General features: G+C 40.2%; 1 protein-coding gene and 2 pseudogenes across 2 annotated transcripts, besides 1 other annotated feature; 1 reads left to right on the top strand and 2 right to left on the bottom strand.

Annotated features, from left to right (window-relative positions):
* Positions 1–90: 90 nt before the first annotated feature.
* TRIM51EP (tripartite motif-containing 51E, pseudogene) lies at positions 91–10,316 on the top strand (annotated as a pseudogene). Its single transcript, NR_146921.1, has 7 exons — positions 91–176; positions 2,198–2,612; positions 2,896–2,991; positions 4,813–5,043; positions 5,763–5,858; positions 6,732–6,829; positions 9,645–10,316. The product of NR_146921.1 is annotated as a tripartite motif-containing 51E, pseudogene (transcript).
* Positions 6,940–7,937: an enhancer, noted in NCBI's record as "H3K27ac-H3K4me1 hESC enhancer chr11:89716992-89717989 (GRCh37/hg19 assembly coordinates)". NCBI's record gives its function as "activates a minimal SCP1, AML or CMV promoter by ChIP-STARR-seq in primed H9 embryonic stem cells {active_cell/tissue: H9 hESC(primed)}" and the evidence as "EXISTENCE:reporter gene assay evidence [ECO:0000049][PMID:30033119]".
* Positions 11,100–12,979, bottom strand: ANKRD33BP9 (ANKRD33B pseudogene 9; annotated as a pseudogene).
* TRIM64 (tripartite motif containing 64) lies at positions 17,689–25,724 on the bottom strand. Its single transcript, NM_001136486.2, has 7 exons — positions 25,609–25,724; positions 22,850–23,261; positions 22,216–22,311; positions 21,287–21,517; positions 20,506–20,528; positions 19,467–19,564; positions 17,689–18,365 (listed from the first exon to the last, which is right to left on the bottom strand). The coding sequence occupies exons 2-7, from the start codon at positions 23,255–23,257 to the stop codon at positions 17,872–17,874; spliced, it is 1,350 nt and encodes a 449-aa protein (NP_001129958.1). The 5' UTR covers positions 23,258–23,261; positions 25,609–25,724; the 3' UTR covers positions 17,689–17,871.
* Positions 25,725–26,037: the final 313 nt, after the last annotated feature.

The raw sequence follows: 26,037 nt of genomic DNA, 5'->3' as shown, positions 1-26,037 counted from the left end.
GGAAGTAGAAGAGACAAGCTCATATTTCTCCAGAGGAGGACAGCACTTCGAGTTAGTTGCATTCAGGTGACCTCTGAAAGTCAACTCTGCAAGGAATGAGCTCCTGATCTTGGGGAGTACTTAAAAGAACTTTTTCTTGGAAGAATTACTGCAGGAAACATTCATAGAACCTTGGGGTGAGTGCAACTTATATGGAGAAAATTATTTCTCTCTTCCTTTAAAATAGTAAATTACAGTGATAAAAATATCTGACTAAACTTACTTAATGATCTTATTTGTAACTCATAGTATTGCTATTCATTTTATGACATGAGGTTATTAATTGTTGTCATTTTGTGTGTTCCAAAAGTGTTTAATATATTTTTGAAAAATTTTAGATATCTAGTGTTTGCTGCAATAGATTTGTATGCATCATGAATATATGGAATTCACATTAAAACATATATATGTGTACTGCATGTACTAATATTGGTACACTTAATTAAGTAAAAAAGGATAATTATTGAATACTGTAAATGTTGTGCTTTCATAACCTTAAGCTTTTAGACATGATTTTAAGTTACTGAGGCAATGGTGAGTTAAAAATGGTGATACTAAAGGAAATAAGAATGCTCTCCAAAATGCCCTAGCTTAGAAATCAAAACACAATTGTTTAGCAGATAACTGTATAAGGAATGATTTGATACTTGATACTAGTTGTCATTTTAATTGAGGCTTACCTCAGATGAAACTATGAAAAATTCCTTGAAATGGCTCAGAAGACCTCTGAAAAATATTTGCAAGTCTTAAATTTTCACTGTTGGCACTTAAATTCAACAGTGTTTAGTAAAAGAGAGTAAGGTAAAGGACTTCAAACGGCCAAGGCAAAGATTACAGTTTGTATTGGTCAGGGTTCTCCAGAGAGACAGAACCATAGGATGTGTACATAACTATATATATATACCAAAAATACTTACAATTGTGGTACAATTGCCTATCGTATACCATACAGGTTTGTAGCCTAGGAACAATATGCTATACTGTATACCATAGGTGTGTAGTAGGCTATACCATCTAGGTTTGTGTAAGTGTACCCTATGATGTTCAAACAATAAGGAGACTGTCTAATGCGTCCCTCAGATCATATATCTGTCCTCACTCTACACATGACACTGTACAGGAGAGGAAGTCCACTAGGGAAATTTGTTCCCTTGATTATGGAGTCTGAGAAGTTGAACATAGGCTGTCATTAAGGTAGTATCCTGGAGATACCAATATCCTGGCTGAGTTAGAATAAGCTTCAGGAGAAAGAGAGGAAACTGCCTTCTCTCTGCCCTTTATCTTCAGTCTGAGCTACCAGCTGATTGGATAGTGTCCACCCACATTGAGGGCTGCTGTTCCCCACTCAGCTCACCAACTTACATGTCTCTCTGGAAACACCTTCACAGACTCACCCAGAAATAATGCTTTACCAATTCTCCATGTATTATTTGATCTAGTCAAGTCAACACCTAAAATTAACCATAATACCATAGTAACATAATTATATATATTTCAGTTTTTAAAAAACTGACTATATGTCAGTTCATAGTTGGAGTAGCCCAAAGAAGAAGTTAATTTAAGCCATAAGAAAAATAAACCCAATATTTTTCATTATTTATTTTATCTCCTAGTGATCCTAGACTGGTTTAATTGCTGTGTTTTTGTTTATCTGGTCGGTTGGTTTGTTCTGGGGTTGTTTTTGTTTTAAAGAGCCGGCTTCTGGGTCCCTCTCTCTAAAAATATGTCATAGCGCCCTCTGACCATCTTCTCATGTTTTGTTACCCAATGTAGGTTTTCTACTGCTCTCCCATAGTCATTCAGTAGTTATTTGAAAGAGAAATAGGGACAAGCATGTTTTATTCTAGACCACTTAAGATTAAAACCCGAGTTTCATATCGACATCCAGGGAATAGGTTTTTGAACAGATTTGCATTATGTTGCGGGCAGGAACTACGAGTAGAAGAGGTTGCGAGTCATCTAGTCAGTAGTGCCTGCTAAAAAGCCTAAGGACTCTCTTTGTGTATGAATTTTTCATTTTTGTTACAGAGGAAATAGTTTGTTCCGCTTTAATGAGCACTGTCAAGAAGAAAATATAGCTACCACATATCACCACATGTTCACAGATTTTCACCAACCCAGACCCCAAAATGACATGCTGCTCTCTCTTCTTCATCAGAAACATGAATTCTGGAATCTTGCAAGTCTTCCAGAGGGCACTCACCTGTCCCATCTGCATGAACTACTTCATAGACCCAGTCACCATAGACTGTGGGCACAACTTTTGCCGGCCCTGTTTCTACCTCAACTGGCGAGACATGGCAGTTCTTGCTCAGTGCTCTAAATGCAAGAAGACAATACAGCAGAGAAACCTCAAAACTGACATTTGTTTGAAGAACATGGCTTCCACTGCCAGAAAAGCCAGCCTCTGGCAATTCCTTAGCTCTGAGGAGCAAATATGTGGGATGCACAGAGAGACAAAGAAGATGTTCTGTGAAGTGAACAAGAGCCGGCTCTGTTGGCTGTGCTCCAACTCTCAGGAGCACCGGAATCACAGACACTGTCCCATTGAGTGGGCTGCTGAGGAACGCCGGGTAAGTGATGCCTCTGAAGATCTATTTCTATACAGGACACATGAAATTCTTGTAAGTCTATTTCCTTGGAGATTGGATGATGCCATCTCTGTGTCCCCTTAAGCATGTCTGTTATGAGCTTCCTTGACTTCACACCTCTCAGATTTGACAAACATGAGGAGAAACAAAGCAAACTCTATTTTCTGTGGGCTAATTTGTCTCTCATTTTGGGTCCTTCGTATATCAGAGTGTGAGTGATACTTTATTGTCCTCACTTGTGCTTCAATTCATGGCTCTTTTGCAGGAGGAGCTCCTAAAAAAAATGCAGTCTTTATGGCAAAAAGCTTGTGAAAATCTCAGAAACCTGAACACAGAAACCACCAGAACCAGATGCTGGAAGGTTAGTACCGTATTACTCTACCTTCTGCAGGAACTTATAGTGAACAAATGGGTGACTCTTAAAACAGGAACTTGATCTCAACCCATAATGTTTCTGGAATTCAATAAACAAGGAAAAAACACTTGAGAAAAAAACACCCTAATTTTTTATATAAGTTAGTGTGACTCTTTGGTAGGATGTCTAATCAGACCACAGATGTTACCCAAGCATGCTCATCTGTTTCCATACAAACCTATAGCAATACCCCCAACAAATACAAGAAACTGGGCCATTTCACACTGTTCCCAATGGGCTGCCTGGATAAATTCTGGATACAAGTGTTATTTGTCAGTCATGGAAATTTCAGGTGACCCTTCTAAGGCTGAGTCAGTATGAATTTGAATCCTGGTGGGCACCTATATTGAAATGTGAGCTAAATTTCAGGCAGAAGGAGCAAGAGCACAACCTTAGGGAAAGCATGAAATTAAATATCAGCGCTAATTAATATTGAGTAAGTCATAACACATAATGGGAAAAGTGGTGAGAAATGTAGACTTGTGTCTTGATGAAGACATAAATATGTGAGAAATATGGGAACTAGTATTTAATATAAGGAGAACTCTAAGGACTTGAGAAGAATTCTAGAAATGATTTTCTCTTTGTGGATGTTTATATTGAGGGTATGATATCTAATATTAATTCATTAATTTATTCTAATATTAATTCATTGAAAGATATTTTATGAGTACCTAGTCTATGTCAAATATCAACTTAGAAAATTAAGGATTAAAGAAGAAAGAAAACACACAAATCTTGCAATGGAAATGAGAAAAGCAAATGGTCACCATGCAGATATGTGAAGTACATGATGTGTTAGAGTGTAGTAGTGTCTTTGGAGAATAATCAAGCAGGAAAGTAGAAAAGGAGCACAGAGGCCAGGGACTGGGGCTGAGGGTTTGAGTTTTAAATAGGGTGGTCAGAAAAAAGGCTCATGGAAAAATTCACACTGAAACAAAATCTTGATCAGGAGGAAATATACATATCCTCCTGTTTGCCTTCCTCTTCTTCATAAATATATGAATATGTATGTGTATCTGGGTGTTGGTATATATATATATATATATATGGATATATTTGAGGAATATATATATACACACACACAGATACACGTATATATTCCTCATATATCCATATATACCTATATTTGAGAAATATATATATGAGTACATATATGAGAAATATATATATATATGTATATATGAAAATAATTCTAGGTATAGAAAACAGCATGTGCAGTAATATTTAATTTGCATTTATTTGGGGGTTTGAGGAACCACAAAAAAGTCCATGTTGCTGATTAGTGTGAGTTTGGAAGAGAATAAATGAAACCTTATTAGAATATGTTATGCTGGGTGAAATGCATTGAGTTGACAATGCTAGTCTGGGTCATGTCATCATTTGTCGTATAATGGTTTTACATAACTTGCCCCAATTCTCCAAAATAGAAATAATGGTTTCTTACCTAGTCAATATAACTCGATAGTTTGATTCTTAAGCAAGAACTGTGTTTTCTTTCTATAAATGTGGTGTGGAAGAGAGAAATCCATTTTTATATAACTATCTTAGAAAGCATTTTATCATTAATCAAGTAAATGTAACTGGGCAGAAACAACTATGTTGATATTAGTACAGAAAAAAAAGGAAAGGAATAAAATTTTGTGGAATCTGAGACTTGACAAGATTGAGGATTAAAATATTGGGTGTTCAGAATGCTAAGAGGAATCAGTGAAATTCAAGAGAAGATGGATAAAACATTTCTATTTTGACTAATTGTCACTGCAGGATTATGTGAGTTTAAGGACAGAAGCAATCAGAGCTGAATATCAGAAGATGCCTGCATTTCTCCATGAAGAAGAGCAACATCACTTGGAGAGGCTGCGAAAGGAGGGCGAGGACATTTTTCAGCAACTCAATGAAAGCCAAGCCAGAATGGAACATCCCAGGGAGCTTTTAAGAGGAATGTATGAGGATCTGAAGCAAATGTACCATAAAGCAGATGTGGAGCTACTCCTGGTACGGACTGACCATGGGGTATCATGATGTTGAACATTCACATACATGGGTGTTTTTCCTCTCTCCTGAAATCCGTCTCCCCCTTCACTTCCATTATTTGTTTCCAAAAACATGATTCGATAACTAATGCTACTTGGTTGGGAAGGTATAGCCTCTCCTAGTGATTCTACTAGACCGAAGGTCCCTCCTACCTTATCCACCAGCAACAAAACTTTGTAGAATGGCTAAGGTAACAGACAGCCCCAAGAAATATTTCCCATCAAAAGTCAGTGATTTATTTAGGATTTTTGAAAGTGGATAAAATGAGAAGTGATTCATTGGCATTTAGGCTAATTTGGAGACATGGCATGATGGAGAAGTTGGGGAATCTAGGATCACACTAATATTATTTTGGGGTCCACTCATTTTGGTAACAGGGCTTAGGGAAGATGACTGAGTAGCTTCTTTATGGTTACCACAGAGCATAGACTCTGTGGGCCTCCCTCCTCTCCCTTCACTTGTAAAGAGAATGTCTTCAAGACTTAGACTTTATCAGGACATTAATTCATGACATATGATAGACTGGGATTTTCATGAGAAAAGAAACAGAAAATGCTTTCCAGGAGGGAACATTGTAGGAAAATATCTTCAGAAACTGTCTCCAAATCTCACACTGAACTTAGTGGAAGATGCGTCTTGTGGAAAGCACTAAGCCTTTCTATTTTTTTTTTTTTTTACAGGCTTTTGGAGACATATTACACAGGGGAGTGCATACCAAGATTTTAGCAGATGCTTTCAGTTTCCACAAATATCAAGCAGGAACTTTGATATTGAAGGTATAATGGATTCAGATAGTGACACTGCCTTGTGCTGGTTGTACTTTCTCCATCCCCCACCCCCATGTAGTCATCTATTTTGTTGCCATACTCAGTGACTTTATTAAGCAGCTCAATGAAAGTTCTGCAAAACCAAATAAATAAATAAATAAATAAATAAATAAAACAAAAAATAAATAAATGAAAGAAAAATCAAGGAAGTGAGCATCTCTATTCCTAATTTCCTTTTTATTGCTCAAAAGCCTTCATATTTGAAAGAGAAAATATTACATTTACTACATGGCTACAAAGTCAACCAGGGGAAGCCAGAGAGAAGAGGGGAAAGTATCTTAGCAGTGAAAAGTGTTGATGATTTCTAGTTTATATTTAAATATATAATTCTGAAAAATGGATGAAACAAACTATTTGGAATGTTTGAACCGTGTAGGCCTCCAGAGAACCTCAACTATAAAAGGCAGATCTCCCTGCCTGGAGCAAGTTTCAACACCCTGGCCTTGAGAAGGAAGCAACAGATGCAGCAGTCTTAAAAATAACCCCACTTTTCCAGACAGTGATTTCAGGAATTTCTGGTGAGGTCTGGAACCCAGAATTTCATTTTTCAATATTCTCCCAGTCTTAAGACTAATGATCCTTACTAATTTGGAGCAATACGAAGAAAGATCCGAATGAATTCTCAGTCAGATAGACTTTTCCATCGTGCTTGAAAATCAGGAACTGTGAATAAGAATGGATTTGAAAAATAAAATGATAATTTTGGAATTAGCAAATGTGTGGGTTAAAGGGATTCTCATGAAATGTCTTTTAAATAAAAGTGGTGATTTTTATGTATTTTTTTTGGCTGTAGATGTGGTAACTGTATCTTTCTCCTTGCAGGTATGAGTCCCCGCTGCTGCAAGTGTCTGAGCCTGTGAATCCAGAGCTCAGTGCAGGGCCCATCACTGGACTGCTGGACAGGCTCAGTGGATTCAGAGGTGAGCGTCAGCCCATTGGCAGAATTCCCACAGTGTATTACTTCTTGTTAGAATCATGGGGGTAATATTTTACCCTTCATCAAATCTTTATTTCATTTCAGCAGGAAGTGAACCATATGACTATGCAACCCTTTTATATCTGTGTTTCTATTTATAGACCAATTTATAACATGAAGAGTAAAACATAGTGAAAAACAAATATGTTCTGGGATCACATGTATAGAGTTATATATTGGGTAAATGGAATGACATAAGAAATAAAAAATTGAATAAATGGAACAATGCTCAGAAGGAAGCGTAATAATCCAAGGTTACATAAAAATTTTGGCACATGTTCTCAGGATCTCCTGAGGGCTGTGTCACAGACCATGGTCACTCATATTTGGCTCAGAATAAATTTCTTTAAATATTTTACAGCTCTCCCTCTCCCTCTCCCTCTCCCTCTCCCCACGGTCTCCCTCTCCCTCTCTTTCCACGGTCTCCCTCTGATCCCTAGCCGAAGCTGGACTGTACTGCTGCCATCTCGGCTCACTGCAACCCCCCTGCCTGATTTTCCTGCCTCAGCCTGCCGAGTGCCTGCGATTGCAAGCGCGCGCCGCCACGCCTGACTGGTTTTCGTATTTTTTTGGTGGAGACGGGGTTTCGCTGTGTTGGCCGGGCTGGTCTCCAGCTCCTAACCGCGAGTGATCCGCCAGCCTCGGCCTCCCGAGGTGCCGGGATTGCAGAAGGAGCCTCGTTCACTCAGTGCTCAATGGTGCCCAGGCTGGAGTGCAGTGGCGTGATCTCGGCTCGCTACAACCACCTCCCAGCCGCCTGCCTTGGCCTCCCAAAGAGCCGAGATTGCAGTCTCTGCCAGGCCGCCACCCCATCTGGGAAGTGAGGAGTGTCTCTGCCTGGCCGCCCATCATCTGGGATGTGAGGAGCCCCTCTGCCTGGCTGCCCAGTCTGGAAAGTGAGGAGCGTCTCTGCCCGGCCGCCATCCCATCTAGGAAGTGAGGAGCGCCTCTTCCCCGCCGCCATCCCATCTAGGAAGTGAGGAGCGTCTCTGCCCGGCCGCCCATCCTCTGAGATGTGGGGAGCGCCTCTGCCCCGCCGCCCCGTCTGGGATGTGAGGAGCGTCTCTGCCCAGCCGCGACCCAGTCTGGGAGGTGAGGAGCGTCTCTGCCCGGCCGCCCCATCTGAGAAGTGAGGAGACCCTCTGCCTGGCAACCGCCCCGTCTGAGAAGTCAGGAGTCCCTCCGCCCGGCAGCCGCCCCGTCTGAGAAGTGAGGAGCCCCGCCGTCCGGCAGCCACCCTGTCTGGGAAGTGAGGAGCGTCTCCGCCCGGCAGCCACCCCGTCCGGGAGGGAGGTGGGGGTCAGCCCCCGCCAGGCCAGCCGCCCCGCCCGGGAGGGAGGTGGGGGGGTCAGCCCCCCGCCCGGCCAGCCGCCCCGTCCCGGAGGTGAGGGGCGCCTCTGCCCGGCCGCCCCTACTGGGAAGTGAGGAGCCCCTCTGCCCGGCCACCACCCCGTCTGGGAGGTGTACCCAACAGCTCATTGAGAACGGGCCATGATGACAATGGCGGTTTTGTGGAATAGAGAGGGGGGAAGGTGGGGAAAAGATTGAGAAATCGGATGGTTGCTGTGTCTGTGTAGAAAGAAGTAGACATGGGAGACTTTTCGTTTTGTTCTGTACTAAGAAAAATTATTCTGCCTTGGGATCCTGTTGATCTGTGACCTTACCCCCCACCCTGTGCTCTCTGAAACATGTGCTGTGTCCACTCAGGGTTAAATGGATTAAGGGCGGTGCAAGATGTGCTTTGTTAAACAGATGCTTGAAGGCAGCATGCTCGTTAAGAGTCATCACCACTCCCTAATCTTAAGTACCCAGGGACACAAACACTGCGGAAGGTCGCAGGGTCCTCTGCCTAGGAAAACCAGAGACCTTTGTTCACTTGTTTATCTGCTGACCTTCCCTCCACTATTGTCCTATGACCCTGCCAAATCCCCCTCTGCGAGAAACACCCAAGAATGATCAATAAATCAATAAATCAATAAAAAAAAATTTTACATTTCTTTACTGTATTTCATTTGAATTGTTAAACACATTTCATTAGAGAATAGAGTTCACTGCAGTTTGTTGGAGTATTTGTACTTTCTTAAAATAAATATATATTATTGATATAATGTAAAATTTTGATTTAACATGTAAAAAGAAAGAAGAATTATTACGTAAATAGGAAGTAAAAATGGAAATGATAATTTCAGTTTAGTTACAACATGAAGAGCTACGTGTAAAATCTAAAATTCGGTTTCAGTCTAGAGCTGGCAGGGATGTCCACAAAGTGACTGGTAAAAGATTTTGCAAAAATCTGCCTTAAATTACCACTTATAATTTGAATATATGGACTTTTATCCAGTTATCTAGAGCGGTGCTTGAGGAAGCTAAAATCTTCCCATTCTTGCCAAAATTATATCACTAGTATTTAAGAACAAGAAATATTTTAATAATAATGACCTTGATAGCTAAAGGGCATTCAGGGCATAAAATATTTCACTTTTACATTGGAGACTGGATTAAAACAGGCTGGTCTCATATTCGACTCTCAATTTTTAAGTTTTCAATAAATTTTCAATGTCTGTTTTTAGGGTTTTGTTCTTCCTATAGAGAATATTAATCATCCTTATACTTTATTAAATGTTGTAGTCACAATTCTCCTGTCCTTGTAACTTCAAATTTCTTGGTAAAGTAAACTCTTGGTAGAACAACTTTTCCCTCAAGAATTCTAATTTCTATTAATTACATGTATCTATATTTTTTAAAAATTATTTTTGCAGTTGATTTTACTCTGCAGCCTGAAAGAACCAATAGTCATATCTTCCTGTATGGAGATTTGAGAAGCATGAATGTTGGATGTGACCCTCAAGATGATCCCGATATCACTGCAAAATCTGAATGTTTTCTTGTAGGGGGGGCTCCGGCTTTCACATCTGGCAAATATTATTGGGAGGTTCACGTGGGGGACTCTTGGAATTGGGCTTTTGGTGTCTGTAACAATTATCGGAAAGAGAAGAGACAGAATGACAAGATAGATGGAGAGGAGGGACTCTTTCTTCTTGGATGTGTTAAGGAGGACACTCACTGCAGTCTCTTTACCACCTCCCCACTTGTGGTGCAATATGTTCCAAGACCTACCAGCACAGTAGGATTATTCCTGGATTGTGAAGGTAGAACCATGAGCTTTGTTGGTGTTGATCAAAGTTCCCTGATATACACCATCCCTAATTGCTCCTTCTCACCTCCTCTCAGGCCTATCTTTTGCTGTAGTCACTTCTGACCAGAGAAAAGTCAGAAATGTGTCTATATGCTCTGGGAACCTGTTTATCCCAGAAAGCCCTCTTTTTCGCACCTCATCAAATGGGACAAATAAGTTACATTTAATGTCTTTAGTTGCATTCTAATGTCATCAAAACTCATTTATAGTGTTTCTATTAAATATGGTGAAAACACTAAAACCATGTGTATTGGTTCCTTTTTAAATCATTTTTGGAAAATCATTACCCATGATGTATGGCATAGAATATATTCTCTGGTTTTTAATTATTTCTGAATGTCACAAAGTGAAATAATAGATGACAGAGTTGTCTAAATGAAGTTAAAATCAATGGAAGAAAGTAGAGATCTTGGGCTTCATGAAAAAACTTGGAGTAAAAAGACTCAATGGTAACCTGGAAATATTTTCTTTCTCTTCATCTAACAATATTATACTTATCCATGTGTTTTATTTATGAACCTATACTTTGAGGTAATCTTATTTGACCTCCTATGCTGTGCTTATCTTTGTAAATCTCATCTTACATACAAAATGCTCATGCATTATTAGAGTGCTGTTCTACAGTGAAATTTACAAGGGGATCAGGACAATGCTGGATCAATTAAATATTCAAATAGACATAACTGAATACTGACCCCTACCTCAAACCATACACAGTGCATTTCCACATGGATTCATGTTCTGAAGGTGAAGGGAACACAATAAAATATTTTCACACAGAAAGATTTCCTAACCAGGACAAAAAAGTAACAATTAAGAAGAAAAATTTAGTTAGTTTGTATCAAAAATGATGACTTCTGTGTTTCAAAATACACCATCCAAGAATTAAAATGCAAACCAAGAGTGGAGAAACATATTTATCCCAACATATATGCAATAAAATACAATACATGTGATTAATGAATGTAATAAACAAAAGAAAATGAACCCAATATAAACTTGGGAAAATATTTGAACAGCCGGCCTCTGGGGCTGGAAGGTGGGCACGGGCGCCTTGCTGAGGCGGACCCGGGGCACCACCACGCCGGGCCGCAAGCTGCTCCGCTGCAGGCGCTGCAGGGGCAGGAGGCTGGCCTTCCGCGGGGCGGGGTCGCCAGAGCCCCAGGACCCTGGCAGCGGGGCAGGTGGGAGGCCGGCTCTTAGGGAGCCCTCCCGGGAGCCCGCGGCCTCTGGGCAGGGCGGCTTGTGCTGCTCTGCGCTCTCCGCTTCGCCCGCCTCCTGCGCCTGCCTCCTCACCCCCAGCCGCGCCGCCAGAATTTCCTGAGCCGCCAGGATTTCCTGCACCGCCAGCCGCCTCTTCCCCACGCACAGGGAGCTCTGGGGGCACACGGTCTGGCACGCGAGGGCCACGGCGGGGCTGTTAGAGGCTGGTGGTCATCCTGACCATGTGGTCCAGGGCGCCCCGGTCCTCCGGGCCACGCACGGAGCGCGGCGTCAGCGTGGACAGCTCGCAGTCCCTGACCCTCTGCAGGCAGTTCTTCGAGCCCTCGGGCTTCCGCACCCTCTCGTGGAGCGGAGGCAGCTCAAGCTGGTACTTTTTCCCCAGTCGCTCCTGGCAGGGGCGCTCCAGGAGCCTCTGCATGAGACGGACGTGTAAGTGGCCACTCCTTTGGCGACCTCCCACGGCGGGGGCCCTCGCGTGGACACCCGCCCCTGCTAGCTCAGGGCTCGGATGCGATCGGTTCGACCCTGCATGGCGGCTTTCAACCCGAACGCGTCCATCCTTCAAGGTCAAGACCCAGGACATAGTTCAGCAAGTAGTTGGTGATGATAGCGTGCCCTGACTGGGCCAGAACAGCCTCTTTAGTAAAACAGCGCAGGAAAGTCATGAAACAGATGCTCAGCTCCTTTCTTCATTTTCACTTTAATTCCGTGATGCCTCTGTGTCCGTCTGACGACATCTCTCCTGGGGTCTGGGACTCTGCTGGTCTTCAATGCCTACTGAGAAGGGTTCCTGGCCATCATCAGGCATGAAAACCTCAAAGCCCTCCTTCCTCAACGTGGGATCCCTGGGCCAGCGGCATCAGCCTCACCAGGAAACCTGTTCTTCTGCTCATTCTTGGGCCCCACCCCAGGCCTATTCAAAGAAAGACTCCAGGGCAGGGCTTGGCAGCCTGTGTTTCCACCAGATCTGTGTTAAAGCTCAAATGAACCAGCCCAGGTGATGCTGACGCAGGAAGCGCAAGGCTGAGAGCCAGCGTCTAAGGCAACTGTGCCCATGGGGCCAGGGGCAGCTCCTGCCTGTGCAGCTATGATTAGGGTTGCGTTCCCCTCCCTGTCCTGCCAGTTGACTTCAATGTGGGGGCACTCAGCTAAGGCCACCACGGTATATCCACAAAGCCGTGGTAGCAGGCGACATTAAGGCCGCTCTGGCCATTGTGGTCAGTCTCCTGAGCCTTCTCAACGCTCACCCCCCGCCGCACCAACGTCTGCAGCAGCCCCACGCCTCCAGGACGCCCTCCTCCAGGACGCCCTCCTCCAGGACGCTCTCCACGCCCTCGACGCCGTGCTCCTCCTCCTCCTGGAAAGGGTACAAAGAGTCGTCCCAGGCGATGCTGCGGGTGTCGGGCAGACTGGAGAAGTCCTGGAACTCTTTGTAGTCAGCGCGGTCCTCCTCGACCTGTGTGCCTAGGAGTGGGGACGGCGGTGGCGGGGTCATGCAGCGCGCCCCGCCACCCTGCGGCTGGGTCCCAGCCAGCAGCACCACGCCGGCGGCCGGAGGCGTGGGCGGGAGGCCGAGGCTCTGTCCCGGAAAGCCTGGTGCGCGCCAAGGTCCCTGCTTCTTGCTTCTGCGTCCCCAGGGAAGCCCTAGCTCCCGCCCCCAGCCCGGTGGAAACCTCCCTTCTTTTACATTATTAAGTTTGTTTTTATTTCAATTTTTTAGGACATTGATAAAATCACTTTCAGATTTTTGAGATTAAAAATTAAATAATTTTCAAGTTTACCCTTTTAAAAATTTGTCACTATTTTAATACTTTTATTTTTTGTGTATTTTAATTATTGTAATTTATATCTTCAATTATTAGGGAAGAATTTTAGGAAAGTCTTTTCACATAATAAAGTCTAAGTAATTAACTATTATTTATTCTCTCTATCTCAAATACGTACTTTAACCTTTTAGAACACTTTATGTTTTGAGACTCTTGTTACTTATGTGACATTTTAACTATTATTCTTCACTCTTCTAGCGAATTTTTAATGTCATTCAAAGGGTACATCTTTCTATAGTGAGAATTAAACATAGTTCTCAAAAATATTCTCAAGTATTAGGAATTTCACCTTCCAATGGCATGTTAAGTATGTTCTCCTTCCCTTCTAATGCATATTCCCCACCCCCCGCCCCCTGCTAATTGTGTATTTTAAGTAAAGACAAAGTTTTACCATGTTGAACAGGCCAGTCTTGAACTCTTGACCTCAAGTGAGCCACCTGCCTCGGCCTCCCAAAATGCTGGGATTACAAAAACAGCAACTAAATGCTGGAATGATGACTGGGAACTTGTCTAGAGTCTCCACTGATTATCCTCCTCATAACAAGGCAGAAAGCCTTCCTCAGAATTATCTGGACTGACATTACTCATTGTCCAGACCTGTTAACAGACTCCTGGAACCAGAGCTGTGAGTCTCAAATGTGCTCCTTCAATAATGCAGTAGAAGGCCTGAGTTTCCACATAGTGGTATCCTTGAATGCCTGGAGACTTTTAAGGCATAAGAACGTACTGATCCTATGAACTGTATGTTTTGTAAAATCTCAGGTTATGTGAGGTGCTTGGACAAATTAAGTTTCAGGGTGATATCCACTATTGAGACAGAAAATTAGTCTAAAGAATTAAGACCTCAAAGTCCAGAATGAGAAAAAATTGTTTTGCTTAGAGCCTCCTTATAATTGTCTTACTTGTTTTATAGATATAAGCACTAGAGGACAAGCTCTACCTGATCTAGCTGGCCTAGACATATGCAGATTCATTAATTGTAGAAGAAAGAATTATAGCTTTCAGGTAAAATGGCTACAAAAAATAATTAGTTGCTGTTTTTGAGACAAGTTCTCACTCTGTCACCCGTGCTGGAGTGCAATGGCACAATCAGAACTCACTGCAGTTTTATAGTCCTGGACTCAAGCAATCCTCCCAACTCAGCCCCTGAGAAGCTGGGACAACAGGTGCACACCACCACTCAAGGCTAATTTTCTGTTTATTTTTTGGTAGAGATAAGGTCTTACTATATTGCCCAGGCTGATCTCAAACTCCTGGCCTCCAGTATTTTTCTGCCTTGGCTTGCCAAAGCACTGGGATTATAAGTATGGCCACTGTAACCAGCTTTAGATCAATTTTATTTAATACAGATACCTTCCCAATTAAAAATATGTTATTAGAATTCTCTTAATCCAGCAAAGCAATGTTATTACTGACCCAGTCTTCACTTATTTTCAGCTTACATGCAGGAACAAAATTACCTTTATTTTTTAATTTGTTTTATTTTATATTTTCAAGGTGCACAATATGTTGTTTTGAGATACATGTGCATAAGGAAATGATTACTATAATGAAGAAAATTAACAAATCGATCATATCACTTAGCTCTGCTTCTTTTTTATGATAAGAACATCAAAAATCTAGTCCCTCAGAATATTTCCCAAAAACAATACAAGATTATCTATTATACCTACAGGTTGTACATCAGATTCATTTATTCTACATTACTGCACCTTTACAACTTTTGCCCTTCATTTACCTATTTTCTTCCCACCAATGTAACCACCTTTTTTAATGTATTAAACTTATAAAAATAGATTTCAAATATGAGTGGGACCATGAAGTATTTTTCTCTGTGTGTCTGTCTTATTTCACTTAGGAAACCTACCATTTACATGTCTCCTAAATTTAGTACAGAAATAAAGTGCTAGTCAAGAATGTGTCTCCGTTTTGTAAGATTAATTTTTTTCCAAGTTATCCTCTTTATCAATTTTTACTTTTTGTATTATAGAAGAGTGAAAATTCTTGTATTAAAAAAACTGTAACCAGGCTATTGATAAATAACTTCCTTTAGGGATAAAAATCTCAGGAAGTTCAAGATTTATGTATTAATGATTGACGATGTTCTTAGTGGTCTCTCTTTGATTTATTTCAATTGTAAGTAATTCTTGGTGGTATTCTAACATAAATTCTGACAGGTGAAGAGAATAAATAAAGTAAGTATCTCTAGGAGAATCAATACAATAAGATTATCTTGGTTAAATGGCTAAGAAAATATGGTAAATAGACACAAAAACTGTTTCATCTTCCAAAATCAGAGTCAAATACTAAGTGATCGTAAAGTAGCTAATTCTGTCTTTCCGCCAAAGTGAATCTGAGCTAAATTAGAAGAATGTCAGGAATAATTTTTCCTTGAAATCTAGCAACAAATAATGTAATTAAATTATGAGGCTTTGACTGTTGCATAGAGTTTTAGCATCAACAGAAAAGCTCACAAAACATAGGTGAAAATCAAAAAGGAGTGCTGGGTTGGAGCCCTAAGGTGAGTAATTTTATCATCTCAGATCACTTGGAAAAAAGCAGCGAGTCCAAAAGAAGCTGGGGATAAGCTTTCTCTCTGCTAACCCCTAATGTTCTGCATGAAATATGTGGAGGCAGAAGAGAGACAGTTTATTATAGTCTACATGGTATAGAGTGAAGGAATAAGAGAATATTTCTGATAAGTATTTTCAAAATTTGGAGAATCATTCCTATCCAAATCATTCATTTAAGGGACTAAAATACAAATAAGATGTTTCTTGCCACATAACCCTCAGCTAGCCAGGCTCTAAAAAGGACAACACTGGACACCCCGACAGTGGTAAAAAGCAGGGTTTACTCACTCTTGAATAACTAAGAACTGGTGCTAACCTTAGGCAGCAGCTTATCTATTTGGTTGAGGTTCAGCTTTGTTTCATTGAACAAATCTCTTGGGTTATTTTCAGTTGTGCCAGTCATTTAATTTGTTTTCTGAATCAAATGATAAGAATAAATATGGTTTAGAGTGTAAACAGCATTCCCAGATACATTACAACTTGGTGTCCCATCTGCCTAATTTTGTAGCTATAGGACGGGAACAAAAGCATTGTGAGGAACACCAGGTGCTTTCCTTAAAGCCAAATACTCTTGTCCCTCCTACTTTTCTTCCGGCTTTCCTGCTGCATGGGACATGGCAATAAATGGGAGTTTCCTGCACACAGAGATAAAATTCACTTGCTGAAGATGTCAGTCTTCTTCTTGACCAACTCCTATGTTGGTACAAACATGTGAGAGAAATGCACCTTCTGAATCATTTCAAATTCGTGGTCTTTGTTAGAGCACATAAGCCGGTGCGCTAGGAGATGTAGCTATTACATTCTATTATAGAATTTTCCATTCTCTATCATCTGGATTCTTATTTGAAATGTAACCAAAGTTTGTTCTTTCTACTGCATAAGAAGGTTTATACCACTTTATGCTTAGCAAGTAATTATATGTCAGTTTAAATAAGGACAGCCTCCATTATTCTAAGTCCTGTTCCTGTTCCCCATCATCTTATATAGGAACCTTCCTCTTTCCATAGTTTATATGAAAAAACCTAAGACAATTGAAATCAACCCTGTAAAAATTATGCTACAATTATTTTAAACCCCAACATAATAGTGTTATCTTTGATATGAATCTGAAAATCAATTTATTTCTTATCTTTTGATAGATATTCATTAGTATGTTCTGTCCTATTTTGTTACTTATATTTTGGAAAAGTTTCTTAATGTTAGAATAGTATTTATACATGTTAACTCCTCTACTTATCCATTTACTCATCTTATTTACTGTGTAATCTATTCTAAAAATTGCATTGAATAATTGTAATATATTAGCAAAGAAGACAAATACTGCCATTGCCCCCTTGGACTTTTCAATCTGGTAGTAATAAGTATAAGAGTTTTCTTAATATTATAACCTGATATAATATATTCAGAGAAGATGTAACAGCAGAGCAACCCAGCACTGAAAAACTGTTGTATGAGCTGAAATGTGATTAATAACTAGGTTGTTGAGACATAATAAAGTCTGTGAGGTCAACCTAACTTGCTCAGACTTAAAAAGAAAAAAAGCACTCCTTTTATTCTTTGTAAGATGAGATATCCACCACTTCATTATTCTACCCCAGCCTGGTTGAAATATACGACTAAGACAAATGGTTTACAGTGTGTACAAACTGAAAACATACTCTCTGAAAAAGAAATCAGATTAAAAAAAGAACTTACATTGTATGATTTTATTTACCTGAATGCAAAAACATAAAAAGTAGATTAAGTGCTGTCAAGGAATGGGGGAGGGTAAAAGGAGAATTAATGTTAATGTGTATTGGGATTCTTCTGGAAGTGATAAAAGTTCACAGGTAGTAGAGAGCTCTGATGGCTGCTCAAGTGTGATATACTAACAATATCTGAATTAAATACATTAGAACATGACTTTTACAGTAAATGAATGAATCTCAACAAAACTAGTACGAAAAAACCATTATTGATGTTCTAGTAAAGATTCCACAATAACTTATTAATTAAAATAATTTAATTAACAAAAGTACACATTCAAGGTGGTTATCCCATTCATAACCACATAGTAATTACATTCCATGAAGTTACAATGAGCTCACAGGCTCTCGCACATAGTGTCTTAGGACAGTATTTGCCTCATATGTGGGAGGTCACAATAAATCATCGTGAAACCAACTTTTCATGTACAACCAAAGCAAAAGAAAGGCCTCAGAGGGGAAGAGAAGGAGGAAGGAGGAAAACCATAGATAAGAGAACCTTTAGAAACATCAAAAAAACTCACAGATCCATTATCATAATCCAGAAACACCCCAACTTGACCCAGAGGCCTTTGCACATACTGAATTAAAGGTGGAGAGTTGGTGGAGAGACTATAGTGATTGCTCCTCTTTGAGGAAATTAAAAAAAATCTTTCATCAGAATCAATAACGAAATTGGCATCTGCAGTCCTGGAATCTTGACAGACTCCCAGAATCCAGTTGGAGGAGAGGGTCACATCCACCTCCCAGTAATGCTTGCCGGAGGTGAATGCTTGCGCTCCCCACACAGCAAAGCTGTCCACTCCCTGGGGATCCGTGGGAGCACTGAGATGGTCATCTCCAAATATCACATATCTCACATCCTCAGAAAGGCTTATATAGCAAGGAATCATTTCCGTGCTCAGAGCACTATCCACTGACAAGAAAAAAATATTATATTAGTGAGTGTTATGAGGGACAGAGGCTCTGTGGCCCAATTATTCACTTCATTTGCTCTTCTTCCAAGAAAATACAGAAAAAAGGAAGCCAAGAGGGGTCAGCCCCATGCATTCATGAAGATGAAATGTTATTACACCTCTACAGCACATACAATTATGTATTATTCCTTAAGTAATAGAGAAAAAACGTGACCATACCACAGGGGAAATAATGATTTAATGTCTACATCTGCATAGTTGGTTTCAGGGCATATGCAAAATGTTTTTTTTTTCTTCAATAGAAAACTCTCCTTGTATTATTTGTTTTTAAGATCATCAACAGGTAGACATCAATTTGCTGTGATGTGAGTATTTATTGGAATGTAAGTTATGCCTGTTATAGTCTCAAACATCAAAAATTTGGTAGAAATTAACACATGTAAAATTTATAAGTTTCTGAAAAGAATATTCTGGCTTTACATTATCTGTTTAGCTCCTGATTCAATCTACTCTGGGTTCCTGCCCTCTGCTACCCAGACCTGCTCTCTAGAATGGGCCTAACATGGTTAAGCCGTGTTCACAGATCCCTCACCTTTCACTTGTTACTAGATGTATCTGATGGCATTAGAATTGTCCTGATTATGGATATTTTAGTCATTTTCTTTGTTGATCAAAATGTTCTGATTTTGTAAATAATAAAGGTTACTTGTAGAATGCATGTAAATGCACATAGAATAGAAACAATTAAAAACCATTATGCCAAATCTAAGCCTTCAAAATTGAATTAAATTGAATAAACATGAAATACTGATGCCGCCATGAGAACTAGAGTCTTCATAACTACATGATCTGAATATTTTGTCCTCTTATTCTGCAGATAAAGTATGTATCTTGCTTTACATTTTCGTCAAACTGTAAGTCAGGAAATTGAGTTTTGATCATTGTAATATTACTATGCAGGTAGGGAAGATGCACATGTTTCGGAAAACTATGTATTACCTACATGTCAAAACTAATAAAACTTAAATGGGAAAATCCTCAACCAAGGGACCCAATAAGGAAATAATTTGAGGCTGGAATGCCAAGCAGCTGGCTCTTACCTCTGAAGTTGTTGAGCATGTCTAGGACTCCAGTTATGCACCATGAAGTGAGCTCTGGGTTCACTGGCTGGGGCTTTTGCATCTGTGCCAAATCAGTCCTGCAAAAAAAAATGGCCTCAGTTATATTTCCAGGCCCAGAGCTAATCACACAGTCATACAAAGATATCACATTTTCATATAAGATGTTTCCTCAGAATTCTGCCAGTTTTGGTTAACTGGGTGTACATTTTATTCCACACTCTAGGGGCAATAAGGATGTTACTTTTTCTAAACTTTGCTTCCAATTTCCCCAGATACGTTATTCTCAGACATTATACAACTTCTAAAGTCATTAAAAGTCATTGCCTCCCTCTGCCCATCACACCCCTTGAGGGTATGCAGAAATCCTGGAAATATTTCAGAGAGCAGAAAACTCAGACAAAAACCTTTGCGACCTCAGCCTGCAGTTATCACTAATGCTAGTCAGTGTCTAACAGAGAATGTTCACTGAGACAAAAGGCTTTAATCTTTTGTGCAAAACAAAGGAGTCTAATTCCAGCCTGAGAACCTTGCTGCTGAGGGGCCCGAGGCAACCATTTCCCTGAGGTCTTTCCTAGAACTGGGTGTATGGTGATGGAGCAGGCCCGGGTCATTGATGCTTTTAGGAGCAAAACATCCCTCCTCAGCCCTTCCTTAGGGAATCTCTCTCCTCCCTCTGTCTTTTTTTTTTTTTTTAACCTCCCACCCCTCTAGAGTAGAAGATGCCTCTATGATTCCTCAGAGTAATTTTGTATTAAGATCTGTGGGGTATGGTTGGTCAGGACGGATGGACTGGGAAGAACAAACTTCCGAATGGCAAATTGTTTTTATGTATATTTTAATTCATACAAATTTTAAGATGAAAACTTTCCAGACCAAAGAGAAGAAGACCTCAGGCCCTCTTTTGAAACAAAATTGGAAATAGCCACCGACAACGATGTTAGTACTCAAAATGATACATCCCCTTCATTCGCAAGAGAACAAACTTTTCAGAAATAGCATTTTTTTAGTGTAAAATCACCTTGCTGATACATTTCTCACATCCTGCAAAAAAATGAAAGATAATGTTAATTATGAGAGATTTTTCCTTCTGCATCTTTTCTCATACTCTTGTTTCTTTCTGTTTTAATAATGTATATCTTTTTATTTCCTGCTAAGGAATCATTCAAGACTACATTAATAATAGAACCTCAACTAAACAATAAAAAGCTTCATCAGTGGGCATTAAGAAGAAAGGAGCTCAGCAAGAGACAGTGGAGTAAAGCAAAGATATCTAGGTTTCCAGTGTCATTAATTTCCTAATCTTACTTCCAAGGAAAGGTCTGACCACACATGACAACGATTAAAACAAAACAGAGAACCATATGAGAAACAGAGTACATGGACATTGATGAGCAGCTTTGACAAACCTTGCCCAGGCAAGGGGAAACCCCTCAATGTCTTCAGCAAATCACTGCTGTGTGGGACATCAGAGAGAGGAGGAACTGGGGCATATAAATGGAGTATTACTAACCTTCCCCTGGCCTAGAGTTCTAACGATTTTAGATGATCTCTCTGTGTGGATAGTACTCCAAATTATATTGAAGAGAACTTTGTTATATGTTATCTGCTAAAATGGCAAAAATTTCCCAAAGATTACCAAAGTATGCAGTAATACGTGAATGGAGAAGTGTAATGGTGGAAGTCAGACAGCATGTGTCACTTAGCTTAGAGCAGTGACATACGCAGGTGATATTTGCATGTCCTGGCAGCACTGTCCAGCAAAGGCTTCCTGTCTCTGAGGATGGACCCTCCCTCCTCACCTGGAGCAGCTCCACGTCAGGCACGTGGCATGTCTCCCACAGCTCTCTGTACATGTCTTTCATCCTTTCTAAATGTTGGGTCATTCTCACTTGACTGTCTTGTAGTTGTTGGAAAAGCTCTTCTGCTTCTCTTTCCAGTGCCTGCAGATGCCGTTGCTCCTCCTCATCGAGAAATATAGGCATCTTTTGATATTGAATAGTGATTATCCTCTTCCTTACTGACACATAGTCCTGCAGAGATGTTTGGTTAAAAGGATTACATGTTCTCACTCTCAATAGAAAACTTCAAATAATTATATGCTGGGTGTAATCAAGCAACTTATAAACTTTCTGCCTCACTCTTGCAAGGAGTCTTGAATATTTGCTATCTTCTTCTGTCCATCTTTTTCAATGTTCCTATTCTCTCTCCCTCTTTAAATCAAACCTATATAAAGACTCCTGGTTTCTGTCACTGTGATGCTTCTTCACAGTTGTTACTGAGTCAATTGTTTCCTCTACTAATCTCTCTTTTAGGATTTTTCCATGTCTGCTTTGCCTGCATGCTAAAAAACATTTAGCCATACACCATATTATGCAGTTTTTTTTTACTTTTACCATATTTTTACTCTATATACTATTCTATTTCTTTCGTCTTCCTCACACCCAAACTTAGTGAAATGTTGTCTCATCTGCAGTGTCTGAAAAGGTTTATACCAACCTTCAAATTTGAACTAGAATACACATCATGCCGTTTATCCAATATACTAGAATTCATTTGGCTAGCTTGTGTGGGCTTCTCTGTTTGCAACTCCTATTACATCAATTGAAATCACTACATTTTCTTGGGATGAAATCACTATCTTGCAACGGGTAGTTTGAATTTAGCTAAAAAGTATAAGCTAACATTGTGTTTATTTGCATAAAAACAAAGAAAACATTTTCATTCTTACCTTTAACGAATGAAATGTTCTAGTTTCCTGATTTAGATTGTTTCTTGTCTCTTGATTGATTTCCCATAAATAGTCCATTTCCTTTATAAGTTTCTCCTGCAAAAGAAGCAAGAAGCTTAGCAATAATGAAGACAGTATAGTAGATTTCATACCCTTATCAATTAAAAAAAAAGGCTGTAATTGAAAGAAACATAAATTAAGTTGGAGTGAAGTGGTCAGATTTTTCCAAGTTAAACACATTTGGTTCTAATAATTTGGATGTGAAAAGTGATAGAAACATAATAGAGAGTTTTAAGGGACCCTTCAGATAATATCATCAATATTCTGAGAAACTGGCTTTCAGATAACCTGACTTTGAAAAGTGTTCTTGGTGCTGGCCACCAGCTCCACAGCTCCATTCTACACGTTTGAACAATGTTTCTAAGGAAACCTCCTTTAGCGAAGTCTCAACACAGCTATGATTAGAGTGCCAAATTAGCCAGCAACATTGAAAGGACACATTTATGTGTTATGATTGACATGGAATAATCACCACCTCCACCATCTGCATTCTCATCACCATCATTATCACAGGCCCTCATCATTCTTATTTGGGATTCTGTATAATTCAAACTGCCTTAGAGGCATCACGTACCCTGCATTCCTCAGCAGCCCATCCTATTGGGCTGTGGCTGTGAGCCATGTGCTCTGGTGACTCAGAGCAGGGCCCACAGAGCAATCTCTTGTCAGCCTCACAGAAGAGCTCCTTAGTCTCCTCATGGAGCACACAGATATTGTCTGAGCTGTTGATGTTCTGAGGTCTGGTCTGTCTGGCTAGGGAAGACAGCTTTTTGAGTACCACATTGGTGTTGAAGTTGGGCTTCTCTGAGATTTTTCTGCACGAAGGGCAGCGCATTGGTGCTCTGCCTTCTTCTGAGCAGAGGCAGAGGCAGGGCCTGCAAAAGCTGTGCCCACAGTCAATGGTGACCGGATCTATGAAGTAGTTCACGCAAATGCAGCAAATGAGCTCATTCTGGAAGACTTGCAGGTCGTCTGAATCCATGTTTCTGGAAATTAAAAAAAAAAAAAAGTGAGAATTTCTTTCTCTTATTTTTATTTACCCCGATGAAAAGGAAAGAAAGGCCGGTGGACAATTTTCCTTGTCTACTTGAGCTCTGTCCAGCATGTCTAATAAGTTAGCTCCAGCACAAACTGAGACATAGTAAATTCATACATGCTGGATTTATAAAGTTTTCCCTCAATAGCCATCGAAGATTCGGTCAAGGACTCCCTGAGAACCAAGATCCTAAGATGTTCAAGTCTCTTATTAGTAAATGGTGTGAATTTGTATGTAACCTAAACCTATCCTCCTGAATACTTTATGTCTAGATTACTTTGAATGCCTAATACAATGTAAATGCTGTATAAATACTTGTAATGCCATACTGTTTAGGAACAGCAAGAAGATTAAAAATATGTACATGTTTGGCAGGGCGCGGTACTCATGCCTGTAATCCCAGCACTTCGGGAGGCCGAGGCGGGCAGGTCACGAGGTCAGGAGATCGAGACCATCCTGGCTAACACCGTGAAACCCCGTTTCTACTAAAAATACAAAAAATTAGCAGGGCGTGGTGGCACGTGCCTGTAGTCCCAGCTATTCGGGAGGCTGAGGCAGGAGAATCGCTTGAACCCAGGAGGCGGAGGTTGCAGTGAGCCGAGATCGCACCACTGCACTCCAGCATGGGTAATGGAGTGAGACTCTGTCTCAAGAAAAAAAAAAAAGTACATATTCAGTACAGCTGCTTTTTTCACCCTGTAAATATTTTTTATCTGAGATTAGTTGAATCCACGGGTATGAAACTTATGAATATGAACAACGAACAACTGTGATGCAAATGAGAAAATGAGACAACAGTCCTCATGGCATTTTTGTTAAACAAGCCGTGCTCTCAGTCATTCCCAGTTACCTAGACAAGCTTAAAGCCTGGGTGGAGGGTAAAAGCTGGGATGATTTCTGAGTCACTTATGTAAGCTAATTAACGAAGAAGCACATTCTGAATGTCATCCTGTTTCTGTCATTCTATCTCTCTCAATAATTCCATGATGATAATATATGAAAGACACTTAGTATCTATGGTATTATTCTATACTCCCTGCCTCCAAACTCACCTATGAAGTTTGCTCAGACAATTATAAATAAAGTAGCTTTTATCTAAGATTGAGTAATCACAGTGGACTGTCAACTCCTAAAATTATCAACCATTAAATTTGTCCTTTTAACTTTAATATCAAAACTCTTCCTTTCAATACATTAAATGTAAATAATATCTATTATTTTTAATTAGGAAAGTTTTTTCCCATTGTCAATTCTGATGATTAGAGAGAACACTTTCACATTCTGAAATAGCCAATATTTCAACTATAATTAACAAGAATTAATCAACAACTAATTATCTTCTAAAATAACAAAAAAAAAGTGAAGATATGTATTAGGTTTTCCACTCTACACTAGAAAATCCAGAAATGCAGTTAATGGAAGCATGGCCGCCAATTCACCTTTCGCTTAGTGACTTGGAAGTTGCAGCTTCTTGGGAGCCCTTGCCAGTTGGTTAGATCTATTGATCTATTTTCTTTCTTTCTTTTTCTTTCTTTTTTTTTTTTTTTTTTTGTTGCTGTTGTTGAGATGCAGTCTCACTCTGTTACGCAGGCTGGAGTGCAGTGGCACGATCTCGGCTTACTGCAAGCTCCACCTCCCAGGTTCAAACAATTCTCCTGCCGCAGCCTCCTGAGTAGCTGGTATTACAGGTGCCCACCACCACGCCAGGATGATTTTTTTGGATTTTCAGTAGGGACTAGGTTTCACCATGTTGGCCAGGCTGGTGTCTAACTCTAGACCTCAAGCGATCTGCCTGCCTTGGCCTCTCAAAGTGCTAGGCTGCAAACATGAGCCATCATGCCCAGCCGATTAAATCTATTTTCAACAGCTTTCAAATCTAGTCTGCAAATTGCAAATTTTGAAGAGACAGCAAATAAGACCTTTGCAACAAGAATTTTCAAAGTAATTCAACATTTTTAACGTTCGCTTTGGCTTACGTTATAACCACTACTACATGCCCACATTCTGGTGAACATTTTAGGTATTTTATGGGTTCTATCATTGCATGAAACTATGGAAATATATCTTTTCACACTTAAGAAAAATCTAACAATACAGAAAACAGTCACATAGTCAAATAGCAAGGGAACACAAACCATATCTTACAAATTGAAGATACTTTATATTGATTTTCTGTAAAATCACTAAGACAGTCATTTGTTTGCTTAGAAAAGACCCAAGCATGCTGCCAGGTAAATTTAAAGCATGTTTAAGAGTAAAAGTGAGCATGATGGTTTTGCTGCACACTGTATACTCACAAGGCTACTATGAATGGTCTCAGTCTAGAAACTCTGTAGATATCCAGATTAGAAGTCACTCCTGGCTCTTCAAAGCCCAGCAGCCACAAATCCAGTGGGTCCTCACTGAAGGAGAGAGAAATCTCTGGACAAGCATCCTTTTAAAGTGTATGGGCCCACGAAAGACCACACCCACTTCCTGAGGTTGATTAGATTGCGTAGAAAGGGGTAAATTGGCTGATTAGGTTTATAAAGTATTGAAAACCAGACTTGAGGGCTCAAAGCTCAACAGACAAGTTTGGAATGAGATGCAAGAAAGTTGACTTAACACTGTTTATTCAAAGAAATATTTTAAGTGTAACAATTATTTCACTACATATTATCACATGCTTTTTTTTTTTTTTTTTTTTTTTTTTGAGACGGTATCTCGCTCTGTCGCCAAGGCTGGAG

Source organism: Homo sapiens, chromosome 11 (genome assembly GCF_000001405.40).
Source record: "Homo sapiens chromosome 11, GRCh38.p14 Primary Assembly".
In the NCBI taxonomy this organism is placed as follows: domain Eukaryota; kingdom Metazoa; phylum Chordata; class Mammalia; order Primates; family Hominidae; genus Homo; species Homo sapiens.
The sequence above is the reverse complement of the archived record's forward strand: the minus strand, read 5'-3'. Positions and strand labels throughout refer to the sequence as shown.